Below are 16,043 nucleotides of genomic sequence, written 5' to 3' on the forward strand. Positions count from 1 at the left end.
CTGGGCAACAAGCACAAAACTCAAAAAAAAAAACCCAAAAAAAACAAAAAAACAGAACAGCCAAAGACCATAGATAAGGGGTGAGATTGGGGACTGGGAGAAGAGGATAAAGAGTTAGAATACTACAGAACACTAGACCACAGGCCCTAGTCTCCTATTTCTCTATCCTTCCTTAAAATGTCTGAAGTCTTTGACTCAGCAATGTAGCACTTGAGTGACTTGAATGTAAACATATTTTGAAAAAAGAGCATATTTTAGGGAGTTCCATTGCAGAAGATTTGAATGTGGTGTAATTCAGCTTGCTGGGAGAGGCGGGGTGGCTGGTGGGTGGATAGAAATGGAAAGATGGAAGTGAATGTGGCAGACTGACACAATAATAGGGCTAATGATTTCAACATTTTAAAAGTTTCACAGTTCCGAGGGAACACAGGAGACGAGCTCCAGTGGGAGGCTTTTAAAATATCCACTTTGACAGTTTCTGTACTTTTTGAGCTTCTTCTGTTTGTTTCTTCCCCAAAGCTTATTAGCACCTCTGTTCTATTTAGGAGACTCTCCGCCACCTTAGTATAGGGAGGAGAACTGGCTCCAGGGGGCTGAGCCCCCCACCGCCAGTGATAGATCTCTCAGGAATAGAAGATTTGAGTCCTGGGAGCCTGTCAAGGACTTTTCCTCTTGAAAAATCATGAAGCTTTGGTCCGCAACATTGTTAAAGGGCTTTAGAGGAAGCAGAGTGTCTCCTTCCACACTCCAAGTAGCCCAAAGCAACTGTGCCCAGATGGTAAGGACTTCCTTCCTAGCTGGGGCGGGCGGCAGCTGGGATAAACACTCATTTAAGCCACTCAGTGCTGTCCTCACTGCTTGCCCCAGGAAAGGGCCAACCCGGTATTTCTGGCTGAGTCAGTTGGGCCTCTCCCACCCATTCTTCTGAACCTCATTCACATCCAGAAAGAGGAGGCTGGAAAATTTGAATATGCAAAAGACCCAATGACATTGCCCTCAATCAGCTCAATTAGTGTGGTTGTGAATGAAGATATGAAGATCAAACAGGTCAAAGGGAATGTTTACAAATGTATCAGCTACCTGGTTTGCAGATCCCTTTGAACAGCTCAGATTTTGGTGCAGTTTCTATAGGTATTAAAACAGGAAAGATTAATTTAATAAGTGACTAGAGTAACATCTGGGGGAAAATTATATTCAGCTGTATGAGATAAAGACCATTGTAGAAGCATTTTCTTCAGGCACGCTCTGCTTTTTCTTTTGAAGGGCTCTCTTGTGCCTGATGTTTTATATATAGTATTAAAATATAATGGTAAAATATTTCTTGGAAAAAAAAAGATAAAAAGAATTGAAATTAAAGGGGATACCAACGATGTGTGTGTGAAAGAAAATAAGATGGGGAATGTGGACAAGTGAATAATAAATGGAGAAGTGCTTGTCTGGACGTTGTTAATGTCTCCAGAAGTTTTCCCTTCAATCTTCCTGTGAGCTACATACAGTGCCGTGGTTAAAAGTTCAGGCTTTAGGGGCAGAATGTTTAGGTTCAAATTCCTACTCTGCCACATAGCTGTGTGACTTTGGGCAAGTACCCAACCTCTCTGTGCCTCATTTTCCTCCTTGGTGAAAAGAGAATAATACAACTATGCACTCAGCTGGTTTTTTTGTTTTGTTTTGTTTTTGAGACAGGGTCTTGCTCTGTTGCCCAGGCTGGAGTGCAGTGCTGCGATCTCAGCTTACTGCAACCTCTGACTCCTGGATTCACGTGATTTTCCTGCCTCAGCCTCCCAAGTAAATGGGATTAAAGGTGCGCGTCACCACGCCAGCTTTGTATTTTTTAGTAGAGACGGGGTTTCACCATGTTGGCCAGGCTTGTCTCTAACTCCTGACCTCAAGTGATCCGCACACCTTGGCCTCCCAAAGTGCTGAGATTACAGGCATGAGCCACCACGCCTGGCCTCAACTGGTTGTTTTGAAGGCTGTATGGAAATGATGCACATGAAACAGTGGCTGGTCTGGGACATAGCCAACCAAGGGCTGCTCCATGACATTTTCATTGTTTAAAATATATAAAAAATAATAAATGAAACATTTTTATACAGAAATGTTGCTTTTCCCCCCTGAAGACGTAAAATATCTACCTAGGTGGATGCTTTCTTTCAGCTGTTAAAGACATGTTGAGTGTTCCCTGCCAGGAATCGGATACCACTTTGAGTACATTTGGGCTGAAACATAAAAATATCTACAGTATTATTCTAACTGTTTCTGTGACAGTTTAAATGGCAATTGCTTTCTAGACAATTGCATTTTTCGTTCAAATACTACCACAGGAAGGCTTGCATAGATTTCAATTAGGATGATAGACCCAAAAAGGCTTTATAGGTGGCCTACTGTTAGTTCCTGAGCTCCCAGCAGGAAAGTGCCAACATAAAACCTGATATTAGGAATAGTGACAGCAATTACTAATATTTTCTAGTGCCCTGCTTCATGGCAGGTGCCAGTCTCAATAGCTTATATACATATCTCTAATCTCTATGCATATCTCTAATCTTATCAGCTCCAGGAGGCAGATGCTATTAGCCACATTTGACAGATGAGGAAATGGGCCCAGAGCTGTTAAGTGATGCTAAGTGTCTGAACCAGGGCTCCAGGCCAGGCCCATCTGGCTCCCTCCAGTTCACAGGGTATCCAACTAGCTCTTGGTCCTTGTCCCTATAACTTCTGAGACCAAAAGCAATGCATTTCAGAATGTTACCATTTGCCAGAAAGTTCTTGATATCGACTATAACGTTCATCTGCTGCAATTTATGCCTCTCTCAGGCCTCTCTCCTGCATACTGGACACTCCCCTTCCCCACTCCCACCCTTATTCTCCCACTCCCATTGGCGATCTCACAGGGTCTTCACCTTAATCCCATGGTTGTCAACCTGGGGAGTTTGGCCCCACCAAGGACATTCAGCCATATCTGGAGATACGTTTGAAGCCACCTGCGGGTGGTGGGGAGGTGTGCTACAGGCATCTAGTGGGTAGAGGCCAGGGAAGCTGCTGCACATCCTGCAGTGCACAGGACAGTCCCCGAAAGAATTATCTGGCCCAAAATGTCAATAGAGCTTAGACTGAGAAACCCTGAAAACAGAACTCTTGATTTCTGTGCCCCAAATCCGTTCTTACTCAAGTCTGTTTTCTCAGTACAAGTCACCATGACTCAAAGTTGTTTCTCAGGCCTCAAATCAAAGAGTTTGCCTAATTTGTCCCTTTCACTCATCCCTTTTTTTCACATTTAATCTCTAACTGTCACACTAAAGAAAAAGAGTTTGGCCAGGTGCAGTGACTCACACCTGTAATCCCAGCATTTTGGGAGGCTGAGGCGGGCAGATCACCTGAGGTCAGGAGTTCGAGATCAGCCTGGCCAACATGGTGAAACCCTGTCTCTACTAAAAATACAAAAATTAGCTGGGCATGGTGGTGCACGCCTATAATCCCAGCTACTTTGGAGGCTGAGGCAGGAGAATTGCATGCCATTGCACTCCAGTCTGGGTGACAGAGTAAGGATCTGTCTCCAAAAAAAAAAAAAAAAAGAAAAAGAGTTTAATTCAATGATATTTGACTCATGTTCCCCTTCTCCAACGTGGCGGTTCAGCTAACTCATTACAGTATCTACTTATTCATCCAATCAACAAATGTTTATTGAGAGACCTCTAAATGCTCAACGTCCATATCAGCTTCACTGGAACCCTGTAAAGCCTCCTAACTTTTTCAGTTTTCATGAAAATACAGTTAAGTACCAATGGGTAGTTTATTTGATCGTGTTCAAAAGATTTTGCTAAAACACTAAAATAGGCTGGGCGTGGTGGCTCACACCTGTAATCCCAGCACTTTGGGAGGCCAAGATGGGTGGGTTACTTGAGGTCAGGAGTTCGTGACCAGCCTGGCCAACATGGTGAAACCCTGTCTCTACTGAAAATACAAATATTAGCCAGGCATGGTGGTGCATGCCTGTAATCCCAGCTACTTGGGAGGCTGAAGAAGGAGAATCGCTTGAACCTGGGAGATGGAGGTTGCAGTGAGTCAAGATAGTGCCAGTGCACTCCAGCCTGGGCGACAAAGTGGGACTCTGTCTCAAAAAGAAAACACACACACTAAAATAAAGAAAAGTTTAGGCTGGGCGTGATGGCTCACGCCTGTAATCCCAACACTTAGGGAGGCCGAGGCAGGTGGATCACAAGGTCAAGAGATAGAGACCATCCTGGCCAACATGGTGAAACCCTGTCTCTACTAAAAATACAAAAATTAGCTGGGCATGGTGGCATACTTCTAAGATATTTATCCTAAGGAGACAAACTATTACAAGAAATCTTTTTTTAAATTTTTATTTCCATAGGTTTTTGGGGAACAGGTGGTATTTGGTTACAGAGATAAGTTTTTTTGTGGTGATTAGTGAGATTTTGGTGCACCCATCACCCGAGCAGTGCACACTGCACCTAATTTGTAGTCTTTTATCTCTCACCCTTTTTTTTTCTTTTCAAACTTTTGCAAAAGGTGTCCTAGTTCTTGGCAATGTTTCCCCTGGGCTCTGGTTACATCATTAACAGTTGAATCACAACTATACCCAGACAGTCACCTGGGAGAGAACTGGGAACTTCATCTGGTTTGGCGACCACTCCCTCCTCCGGCGGCAGGTATCTAGCAGCAGGATAACTGATATCGTAAAGGTGGGTTTTGATAAAGGTGGGAGTGTGCACTAGACTTGCAGAGGATCACACTTGGATTTCAACAGGATGGGGTAGAAAGATAAGAGCAATGAATTGTACTCCTTGTTTTTTTAAAAACGAACCAAAGATAGAGAGAGACACATGACAGTGTCAAAAAAAAAAACTCTCCTTTTTTATTCTAAAATCCTGTTTTCTTATTGAGTCAATTGCAGAGGTCCCTCTGTGACACTCCAGAATATAACCCCTCCCTGCCTGGAGGCCTTGCTCAGGATAACTTTTCCCGTCTGCCTGTGGCTCAGAGGTGGTTGGAGCCAGGCTGAATGGAGGGCAGGCAGGCAGCTCTGCTGATTCTTTTCCACTTGAAAGGGGGCTTGGGGACTGAGACAGCCATCATCCCTTGCCACCTCCACTGAGCCAGTCTGTTGCGGGTGGAGACTGAACTTGGACTGGCTGAGGACCTGGGTCTCCCTACACTGGCCAAACCCCACAAGCCTCTCACAGCCTGCAGCCATCCCAGCGTGTCTCTGAGCACTCTCATTCCCTCCACCCTGCCCCACACCTCCATCTTTCAGTGTCTTTGTCCTGCCATGCACCGTTCCCTCTGCTAGAAATGTCCTTCTCATCCTTTAACCCGTAATATCTGCGTATCCTTCCAGACAAAACTTCAGCCTTATCTTCTCCCAGCCATCTCTCCGAATGCCCCAGGGCAGAAGTAGCACACTTTTGTACTTCCCTCTCAGAGTGCTCAGGACACAGTCCAGTATTAAGTAATGCACACAGTGCTTCTCCCAGTAAAGTTTGAGTTCCTGGAGGGCTGGAGACATGTTTGATTTATCTTTGTCATTTCTAGGACATGAGAGGCTCTCAATAAATGTGGAATGAATTGATAACTGACTAAATAAATGACACCAGTCTGAAATTCCTAACTAAAGTTACTTAGAGATCATTTTTCCCAACCTGGTTCTCCCCTTCACTTGCTGTGTGGCCTTTGGCAAGTTACTTAACCTCTCTGTGCCTCCATTTCTTCATCTGTAAAATGCAGCTAATAGTAGAAGGATATATCTACTTTATAGGGTGGCATGAGCATCATCTGTTAGTGTAGGTAAAGTACTTAGATAAGTACCTGGCAAATAATAAGCACTCGGTAAATGTCAGAGTTTACATGCACATGCCCAGAGATGCATCTGACTCACCCCACCTCTGTCCCCACCCACACTGCTGTGAGGGTTGGCTGCTGATGGCTCTACCTGCAGCCTTTCTTTGGAGAATTACTCTCAGCCAAAGGGAGCAGCCTCACCTAAAGGGTTACTCTGTGCAGCTCATGGTCAATGACTGATGACCTACGGTACAAAAGGTTGCCCCCCTGCATCAACTTGATGACCTGGGATACAAAAGGCTGGCCCTCTGTATGGACTTGATGTCCTGGAGTACAAAAGCCTGCCCCCTGCCTTAAAGTAGCACCAACTTCTTAGGGCGAGCTGTGCTCCCAAGGTCCTCTTTGCAGCAGGCTGAAGCTAGTCTCCAACCCAGCATCCCTTCACCCTTCCCTGTCCTGCTGCCTCACTTCCTAACCCCTGAGGGCACCTCACTCAGTCGCTTGAACAGGAATACCTGTCTCAGGCTCTGACTGTAGGTAGCTTGGTTGAGACAACCACTGTCACCGTCACTATCATCAGACAGGAGGAAATGAGACCCAGAGCTGTTAACTGGTTTCTCCAAGACCCAAGGTTAGGAACACGAGTTGGAGGTAGTCAGGCATTAACTAGAAGTTCATTTGTTATTTTAGAGTAGTGCTGGTTTTTATGAGTCTCCAATGAGCCTTTTCTAAGAAACACCGACTGAATAAATTAACCAACAATCAGCTTGAAAAACACAAACTAAGTTACCTTAGGTAGGTACAGAAGGTCACGACAAAAAGGAATCAATGGGAAAGGAAAACATGACGATTACATGCCTTCGTGGGTGGTGAGGACAGCGAGGACAGCCTTTGCTGAGTCCTGATCCCCTGAGATGAGACCGAGGTCCAGGCCAAGCGGGGGACCCCTCAGGCCTGCGGCATAGGTAAGGGGTGGCAAAACGGATCACAACCATGTCCCTGCTTGCCTTTGCCTTACCATGATCCCACCTATCTAGACACACCACCCCTCAGAACTCACATCCCATGTGCCTCCACTGAGTACTCTTCAGCAATTCCCCACCACCCCCAGGACCCCCAGCTCAAAGCCATCTCCATTTGATAATCCCATGAAGGTCATCAAATGCCATCCTTGCTTAGGTCAGCCCATTACACTGGACTATGAGGGCTTTGAGGACAGGAGCTGGGACTTGGATCTTTGCCTTACCCCAGAGGGGAGGGAAATGAAGGGAAAGAGAATCTGACACACACTTGTGTTTGGTAGTTGTGAGGTAGGAATCAAGACCATGCTTCTCCTTGAGAGTGACAGCTGGGAGAAGTCCATCAACTTCAGGTTCTCCCAGCCACTGAAACTGATGAAGCCAGATTCTAATCCAAGTCAGTCCAAGCTGAAACAGACCAGGAAAAGGAAAATCAACTTCAGCAAGGCACTTAAAGACATTTGCTGTAATTAGATGGACATTTTGATGGGAAAAGAGGCTGATGGGAATGCTTTGCAGGGCTTAATGCAGGAGTTCTTGTTCTTTCTCAGTGTAAAAGTGTTTTTTTCCTTCCCTGGTTACAACACTAGCATATACTTGTGAAAAATCTGAATAACACAGAAGCGTATAAAACAGAAGATATTAGTGCCTGATATTCTCTCTCATCCTCTGCAATACCTACTGTTAAGAGTTTAAATATACTGGCTGGGCGTGGTGGCTTACCCTTGTAATCCCAGCACTTTGGGAGGTTCTTTATTTGTTAAGGACTTCAAATCCTTTGTTGTGTACAGTGCAAATATTTTTCTTCAACTTGAATATCTTTCAGTCTTCTTTATGGTATCCTCTCTTGAACAGAAGTTTAAAAAATTTTTTTCAGAGTGGTAACATTTATTAGGAAGGAGAGATTTTAGTGAGATCCCCATGTGACACACAGAAGAAACAGAAGGTAACTGTCATTTCTAAACAGGAAGGAGAGGAGGGTCTGGACTCCCAGGGGACAGGTAGTTCAGCTGGACAATGGGGGAGTATGAGATTAGGGTGGATGAAGCCACTGTTCACCACCCCTCCACTGAAGTTCAGTGGCTAAAATATTGTGACACCAGCCAGCCAGTGGAAAGCTGTCCTGCTCTCCGGCAAACATGGGATGTTGTTGGTGGCAGGAAGGAAGAATGTCACGCTATATCTTGCTGCTCCTCCGGGCTACTTTGCCGTTACTAACAGGGCTGAAGGGTCAGGTGGGCCTGCAGGTGTGTGGTTGGCCTGGCTTCGAGGGGTTCTGGTACTGGGGGGGTGGGACGGACTATGAGGGGGATGTGGGCCACTACCAGGACCCTGGTGGGTTACTAGATCCATTCCCATTCTGGCTTTCAGAGGCTGGAGAAGCAGCAGGGGGACGAGTGGTAGGCTGGGAAGCTGTAGGGTTGCTGTTGTTCTGCAGGGTTGCTGTCTTTCTGCACCACCTTGTTGGGCGCCTGCTGGTTGCTATACTCTGAGTTTGGCTCATTGAAGTTAGGAAATCAGAATAAACCATACAGAATTCTCCAGTCTTCTGTAGATCACCCCCATGGCCAGTATACTGTGTCAGACAACCTTTGAAAACTGAAGCGCACCCTTTGTTGAGCCAGACAACGTCCCCAGGCTGGATCAGATTGCCGATGTCATCACAGACGGAGATATTGAGGCTGCCCATTTTGTCTGCCACTTTGCAGGTCTGAACCTTGTGCCCCTCCTTTGTCTTGGCCTGTCTCCAGCACAATAACGATAAGCTTCAGACTCCTGAGCCTGGGCTTGATATCCTTCACAAAGGTCTCCGTCATGCAGGCAGAGCCAACCAAACCATGTTTTTGTTTGTTAGCTTGTTTCTTTTTTTTTTTTTTTTTTTTTTTTTTTTTTTTTGAGATGGTGTCCTCTCTGTCGCCCAGGCTGGAGTACAGTGGCACAATCTCGGCTCACTGCAACCTCCGCCTCCCGAGTTCAAGTGATTCTCCTGCCTCAGCCTCCCAAGTAGCTGGGATTACAAGCGTGCACCACCACACTCCACTAATTTTTGTATTTTTAGTAGAGACGGGGTTTCACCATGATGGCCAGGCTGGTCTCGAACTCCTGACCTCAAGTGATCTGCTTGCCTCGGCCTCCCAAAGTGTAATCTCAAAGTGCTTAGATTAGAGGTGTGAGCCACCACTCCCGGCCTTAAATTTTTATAATGTCAAATTTATCTAGCTTTTATGTGTTTGGGTTTTCATGTTATGCTGGAAAGACTTCTTGTTCATAAATTAACAAGATCAAGAGTTTTGGAATGGAAATTGATTCTAGCATGTGTGGACCATTATGCTGAATTTTGGTGGACACATAAATACCTTTATCAGGCAAGCTATTTTTAAACTCTGTAATTACAATTTAATAGTAGGCCAAATAATGAAAAAAAAGTATTATAGAACTAAGAGCTACATTTAATTAAAAGTGAATATCTTTTTAGGCTGAGGCGGGAGGTTGGATCACTTGAGCCCAGGAGATTGAGGCCAGCCTGGGCAACAGAGCAAGACCTGGTCTCTATAAAAAATTTTAAAATTAGCCAGGTGTGGTGTCACAGGCCTATAGTCCCAGCTACTTAGTAAGCTGAGGCAGGAGGATTGCTTGCTTCCAGGAGTTCAAACTTGTAGTGAACTATGATTGCATCATTGCACTCCAGCCTGTGTGACAGAGCAAGATCCTGTTTCAATAAATAAATAAAGGGGGGATTACATAATAGCACAAGTAACAAAAATTTCCCCCCATAATTGCATTCTTCTGAATAACCACAGTTTATATTTTACTATTTTTCTTTCCAGTCTTTTTTCTAGTCTTGTGTACTTACATATATTTTTTAAACAAAATTTGGTTCATATTCATCTGGAATGGTCTTTTTTCACTGAATATCAGATTGTGAATTTGTGGGAGGACTGAGTAACTGTTGTATACTCCATTACAAAGTCTATGATTGAAATCTAGTAGTATTTGTTAACTAGAGAAAGTCTTTTAAGATGATAAGATATATACCAAACAACCTTCTTTCTTCTTTCTAAAATGGCTCCATCCTTTGATCTTTTATCATCCACACTTATTTTGTTTTAGCGGCTTCTGTACGTAACTGTTGAGCTGTGTTATCTTGGAAAGGTTTCATGTCTACCCACTCCCTTTTCACATTTTTACCATGCCTTTCTTGAAAATCACATTTTAGTGACGCTTCTTAGTGATTTTTTTCTTCTCTCTTTTTTCTTCTTCTCTTTTTTTTTTTTTTTTTTTTTTTTGAGACAAGGTCTTGCTCTGTCACCCAGGCTGGAGTGCAGTGGCACAACCAGAGCTCACTGAAGCCTCAGACTCGTGGGCTCAAGTGATCCTCTTCCCTCAGCCTCCCAAGTAGCTGGGACTACAGGCATACACCAACAATGCCCGGCTAATTTTTCTGTTTTTTTGTAGAGACAGGGTATCACTATGTTGGCCAGGCTGGTCTCAAACTCCTGGCCTCAAGCGATCCTCCTGCTTTGGCCTCCCAAAGTACTGGGATTACAGGCATGAGACACCACGCCTGGCCCTGAGTGCCTTTGCAATGGGACACGGAGACAGCTTTTGCTTTGTGCGGCTTCAAGTTTTGTATAAATCTCAAACTATTCTATGTTCCGTGGATGTGGCCTTCCATCTCATCCCATTTCAGAGATACTCTTCATTCCACTGGATCGCTAACTTCTCCTGAGTGCCTCCTGATATGCTGGTCACACCACTGTCATCCTCCATTTCCTGACAAATCCAACAACTGCTGAGCCAGAACAGCCACGTGAGCTGAATTGTGCCTGGTGGTCACAGTAGAACCACAGATAATGCAGCTAGATGGCGCTCACATCCACACATTTCTGAGGAATTAGGCGGCAATGTTCAAGATGTTTTACATTAGTTCCCAGCCTTGAGTTTACAGTCTTGGGAGAGGAGGACCAGTATACTTAGGCACATGAAATATCTGCAAAGTAATGCTAATATATGCATTTTCCAAATGAAACTAACATAAAATGAGTACAGCATGTTGGTTGCTCCTCTAAGCCCTAAACTGTCCTCCCAGCACCCCTACGACACAGGTACAGTACAATTACATCTTTCCTTTAAGAGGAGGCACTAATAGATTTAGTAGTTTTCCCAAGGCCACAGGGGCAGAGGCATAAGTCAACCCAGGTAGCTCGCTCCAAAGCCACACTTAATCACAATGAACTGGCTCAAGAAAAAGGAGAATAGAATGACATCAAACCAACAGTGGTGACCTGCGGGGAGTCAGGTGTGCTGGGAGACTACACTATTTACTTTCCACACAAAGCTCTGTATTGTTGAAAATTCTGTCCCCAGGCATAAACTGTCATGCTTTTAAATTCAATACTTTTTATAAGAATAATATAAGAGCATAAAATACTACTCAACTGTGGTCAAAGGCTAATTCAGGAATTGTGGGTTTTGAAGCTTGTTTATGGAGGAAGGAGACTCTAAGGATAAGAATTCAAAATAGAAATACAAAATTACATATAAAAGTAAATATTTATGGCCAGGTGCACTGGTTCACACCTGTAATCCCAGCACTTTGGGAGGCCGATGCAGGAGGCTTGCTTGAGCTCAGGAGTTCAAGACCAGTCTGTGCAACATAGTGATACCCCATCTCTACAAAAAAGTTAGAAAAACTAGCTGGGTGTGGGATAGTCCTAGCTAGCTGGGAGGCTGAGGTGGGAGGATCACTTGAGCCCAGGTGTTGGAGGCTACAGTGGGCTATGATTGCACCACTGCTCTCCAGCCTGGGCTGCAGGGGGAGACCCTGTCTCAGAAAAAGAGTGAAAGTTTATTTAGATTGAAATATGAAATCGTAACAAATTACACATTTTTGCTCTTTTTTTTTTTTTTTTTTTTTGAGATAAGATCTCACTGTGTCACCCAGGCTGGAGCACAGTGGCACTATCATGGCTCAATGCAACCTCCACCTCCCAGGCTCAAGTGATCCTCCCACCTCAGCTTCCCAAGTAGCTGGGACCACAGGCACCCACCACCATAACTGGCTGATTTTTGTATTTTTTGTAGAGGCAGGGTTTTGCCATGTTGCCCAGGCTGGTCTCAAACTCCTGAGCTGAAGAGATCCACCCACCTCTGCTTCCATAAGGGCTGAGATTACAGGCGTGAGCCACCGTGCCCGGCCACACATTTTTGAAAAGTGACAAACACCACAAATATAACAAAATCCTGAAAAATGACATAACCTCTACAATATTTTTTCCTATTCTTTGGCTGCATACTTTTCATATGATCATCTCGTCACATAACAACTGTGCAATATCATTTTCATGTAAAGAAGACAAAGCAATTCAAATGCATTTTAAAATGCCATTATGTTGGATAGAGCTACATAATTGTTTAATTGAATTCTCCCTCTGCTGTGTACAATAACTTATGGATGAATATGCTTGGGAGCTTTGTGACAAGAACACTTAGGGTGCTTTGCTGTGATTTTAGTGCTTTTGAATGTTTTTTTGTCTGGTGTTGCCAGGTTTCATCAGGACAAGTTATATCAGATATGCTAAGACTGACTCAATATGTTGGTAGACATAAAATGCAGTTTGGCATGCATAAAAATGATACTTCACAGTTTATAGTATTGCTACAGCTTTGTGCTCTACAAACACGAGAATTCTAATCAATTCTATTTTGCATTGATTTCTACTTTAAAAGTATGATAGTATGGTGCATTATAATTGTATATACCACATTTCTGAGTATTTTCCTGAAGATAATTTCTGTCTTGACTAGACATCAATGAGAACCAAATATTTCACTCATAATTGTGTACAGCTGATGATTGAAAGAACATTCCACAGATTAGCTTCTCATTCTGCACATTTTAACTCTTGCTTCTTCTTCACTCCCACATGCTTCCAGTGTCAGGCATCATAGGAAACATTTAAATCATAATAAGACCCATGATGCCACAGAGCATGCACTGAGCAAGAGGGTTCCTGGAAGCCTAGAATACCCAAGAATAACCAACAATTTCTCGACTCTACATGGAAGTGTGAACCATATATATAGATCCCACTCGACCAAAACAAATAAATCTCCAACTCAACTTCTCCTTAGCTGGATTCCCCAAAATGCTCATGCCTCTCCATCACCACACAACTCCTCAAGGGAAAAGTGACGCAGGGGCAAACAGAGTCAACAGCATCCTTAGCTTATGACAGTTAAAATCTTACTTTTACATTTTTACCAAAAGCATGTGACCATGTGAACCCAAGCAAAGGTGCTTCTGGGATCTTGGAAGTCATTCTTATAACTAGCAGGTCCTAAAGCTTAAGCTCCTTTCTAGAAAATCTACTCTGATTGTGGTGAAGACGACCATTGCAACAAGAGCCACGCTCACGGAGAAAGCAGTGCGTACTGGAGTTGTCAAGAAAAACTTCTTGTAGGAGACAGGCACTGAGCAAGGCCTTAAGTCATTGGTAGGATCCAACAAACAGAGGAATAGGATGGGAGTCTAAGCCACAAAGTTTCTGCATCTGCCAAAAAGTAGATATGCATGTATGTGGATGTAAAACGTGTTTTCCTGCCAATGAAAACATTTTTCCGTCACTGGCTTAGAGCTACCTAATAAGAGCCAATGGCAATACATTTACACATCACTAAAGAATGAGAAGTGAACTTTCTTCCCGGTCCCCTCTCCCCATCACCATCAGCAAATAATCACTCCCAAGCCAAGATTAACCAGAGCTGCAGGCATTTGGCACACATGTGGTCCCCATCCACCTCTTCCAACCTGGGATCCAAAAACCCTGGATTTACACCCCAGGCAAAAGAGAGACTGGCCTGAGACTAAGTCTTCGGTGGTAGATGCAGGAAGCAAAGCCTGGTGGATGCCAGTCCAATCAGCGTGAGGAAGGAAGATTCATGCCCAGTTCTCACCCCTCTTTCGCTTGAATATATTTTGTGCCATTACCTGCAGGAAAGGGGGAAGGGAAGGAATGTTTCCCGCCAGAGGCAGCAGCTGTCCCCTCATTTGGAAGACTCTGAGTTGATTTTGGCCATGTCCTTCTGCCTGTTTCTTTAACATGCTGCATTAAGCCTCAGCTTTGCTCCTCTTGCTCCTGAATTCTGTTTTGAAATATCAGAGAAATGCTCCCAGGAGGACTTTGAATGTGAGCACTCTTTATAGGCTATTTTAAGGAGCTCCCAGCTCAGGCCAGGGTCAGGCAACAACAGCTAAACCCAAACTCATCAGCACCATGGTCTACCCAGGAAAGCACAAAGACTCAAATGTCACTGAGTTCACCACCATTCGTTTAGCACCTACTGTATGCCGGGAGTGCTCTTAGAAATTAGGGTGATAATCCTAAACCAAAAGAACAAAGCTGGAGGCATCATGCTACCTGACTTCAAACTATACTACAAGGTTACAGTAACCAAAACAGCATGGTACTGGTACCAAAACAGAGATATAGACCAATGGAACAGAACAGAGCCCTCAGAAATAATGCTGCATATCTACAACTATCTGATCTTTGACAAACCTGACAAAAACAAGAAATGGGGAAAGGATTCCCCATTTAATAAGTGGTGCTGGGAAAACTGGCTAGCCATATGTAGAAAGCTGAAATTGGATCCCTTCCTTATGCCGTATACAAAAATTAATTGAAGATGGATTAAAGACTTAAATGTTAGACCTAAAACCATAAAAACCCTAGAAGAAAACCTAGGCAATACCATTCAGGACATAGGCATGGACAAGGACTTCATGGCTAAAATACCAAAAGCAATGGCAACAAAAGCCAAAATTGACAAATGGGATCTAATTAAACTAAAGAGCTTCTGCACAGCAAAAGAAACTACCATCAGAGTGAACAGGCAACCTACAGAATGGGAGAAAATTTTTGCAATCTACTCATCTGACAAAGGGCTAATATCCAGAATCTACAATGAACTCAAACACATTTACAAGAAAAAAACAAACAACCCCATCAAAAAGTGGGCAAAGGATATGAACAGACACTTCTCAAAAGAAGACATTTATGCAGGCAACAGACACGTGAACAAATGCTTATCATCACTGGCCATCAGAGAAATGCAAATCAAAACCACAGGGAGATACCATCTCACACCAGTTAGAATGGCGACCATTAAAAAGTCAGGAAACAACAGGTGCTGGAGAGGATGTGGAGAAATAGGAACAATTTTACACTGTTGGTGGGACTGTAAACTAGTTCAACCATTGTGGAAGTTATTGTGGCAATTCCTCTGGGATCTAGAACTAGAAATACCATTTGACCCAGCCATCCCATTACTGGGTATATACCCAAAGGATTATAAATCATGCTGGTATAAAGACACACGCACACGTATGTTTATTGCGGCACTATTCACAATAGCAAAGACTTGGAACCAACCCAAATGTCCAACAATGATAGACTGGATTAAGAAAATGTGGCAGATATACACCATGGAATACTATGCAGCCATAAAAAATGATGAGTTCATGTCCTTTGTAGGGACATGGATGAAGCTGGAAACCATCATTCTCAGCTAACTGTCGTGAGGACAAAAAACCAAACCCACATGTTCTCACTCAAAGGTGGGAATTGAACAATGAGAACACATGGACACAGGAAGGGGAACATCACACACCGGGGCCTGTTGTGGGGTGGGGGGAGGGGGGAGGGATAGCATTAGGAGATATACCTAATGTTAAATTATGAGTTAATGGGTGCAGCACACCAACATTGCACGTGTGTGCATATGTAACAAACCTGCAGGTTGTGCACATGTACCCTAAAACTTAAAGTATAATAATAAAAAAAGAAATTAGGGTGATGGAGTAGCTTAGGGTTCCCCAACTCCTCCTTTCTTTGCAGATCATAAATGTGATTACCCTCTTTTGGTTTCCCCTAAGTTTATGTTTAATAAGCTTGTAATTTGTCTTTTTCCCACATTCCCCATCAACTCTAGAATTCAGCCGGCTTAGTTCCCAGGTCATCCTCAGCTGGGTGGGGGTGGTGATTGCTCACTTGTGACAAAGCATCCTGGCGCTGATTGACTGGCTCAGTGTGGGGTGTGAATGGGGTCCTGAACACGGGCAAACGGAAAGAGATGGTTAAGAAACCATTAACAAGTGCCAAGTCAAATTCATTTCAGAATATAGTTAAAGTAGGAATCTAAAGTGCTATCTTTGCAGAC

The 16,043-nt window shown here is 43.8% G+C and overlaps 1 pseudogene, besides 1 other annotated feature; it reads right to left on the reverse strand.

Moving 5' to 3' along the window:
• LOC100129728 (nucleic acid binding protein 2 pseudogene) lies at positions 7,697–8,650 on the reverse strand (annotated as a pseudogene).
• Positions 10,587–10,751: a silencer, noted in NCBI's record as "fragment chr4:54796254-54796418 (GRCh37/hg19 assembly coordinates)". NCBI's record gives its function as "represses an EF-1alpha promoter that drives an FKBP-Casp9 reporter gene in an ReSE screen in K562 erythroleukemia cells {active_cell/tissue: K562}" and the evidence as "EXISTENCE:reporter gene assay evidence [ECO:0000049][PMID:32094911]".

This window comes from Homo sapiens, chromosome 4, assembly GCF_000001405.40.
Source record: "Homo sapiens chromosome 4, GRCh38.p14 Primary Assembly".
In the NCBI taxonomy this organism is placed as follows: domain Eukaryota; kingdom Metazoa; phylum Chordata; class Mammalia; order Primates; family Hominidae; genus Homo; species Homo sapiens.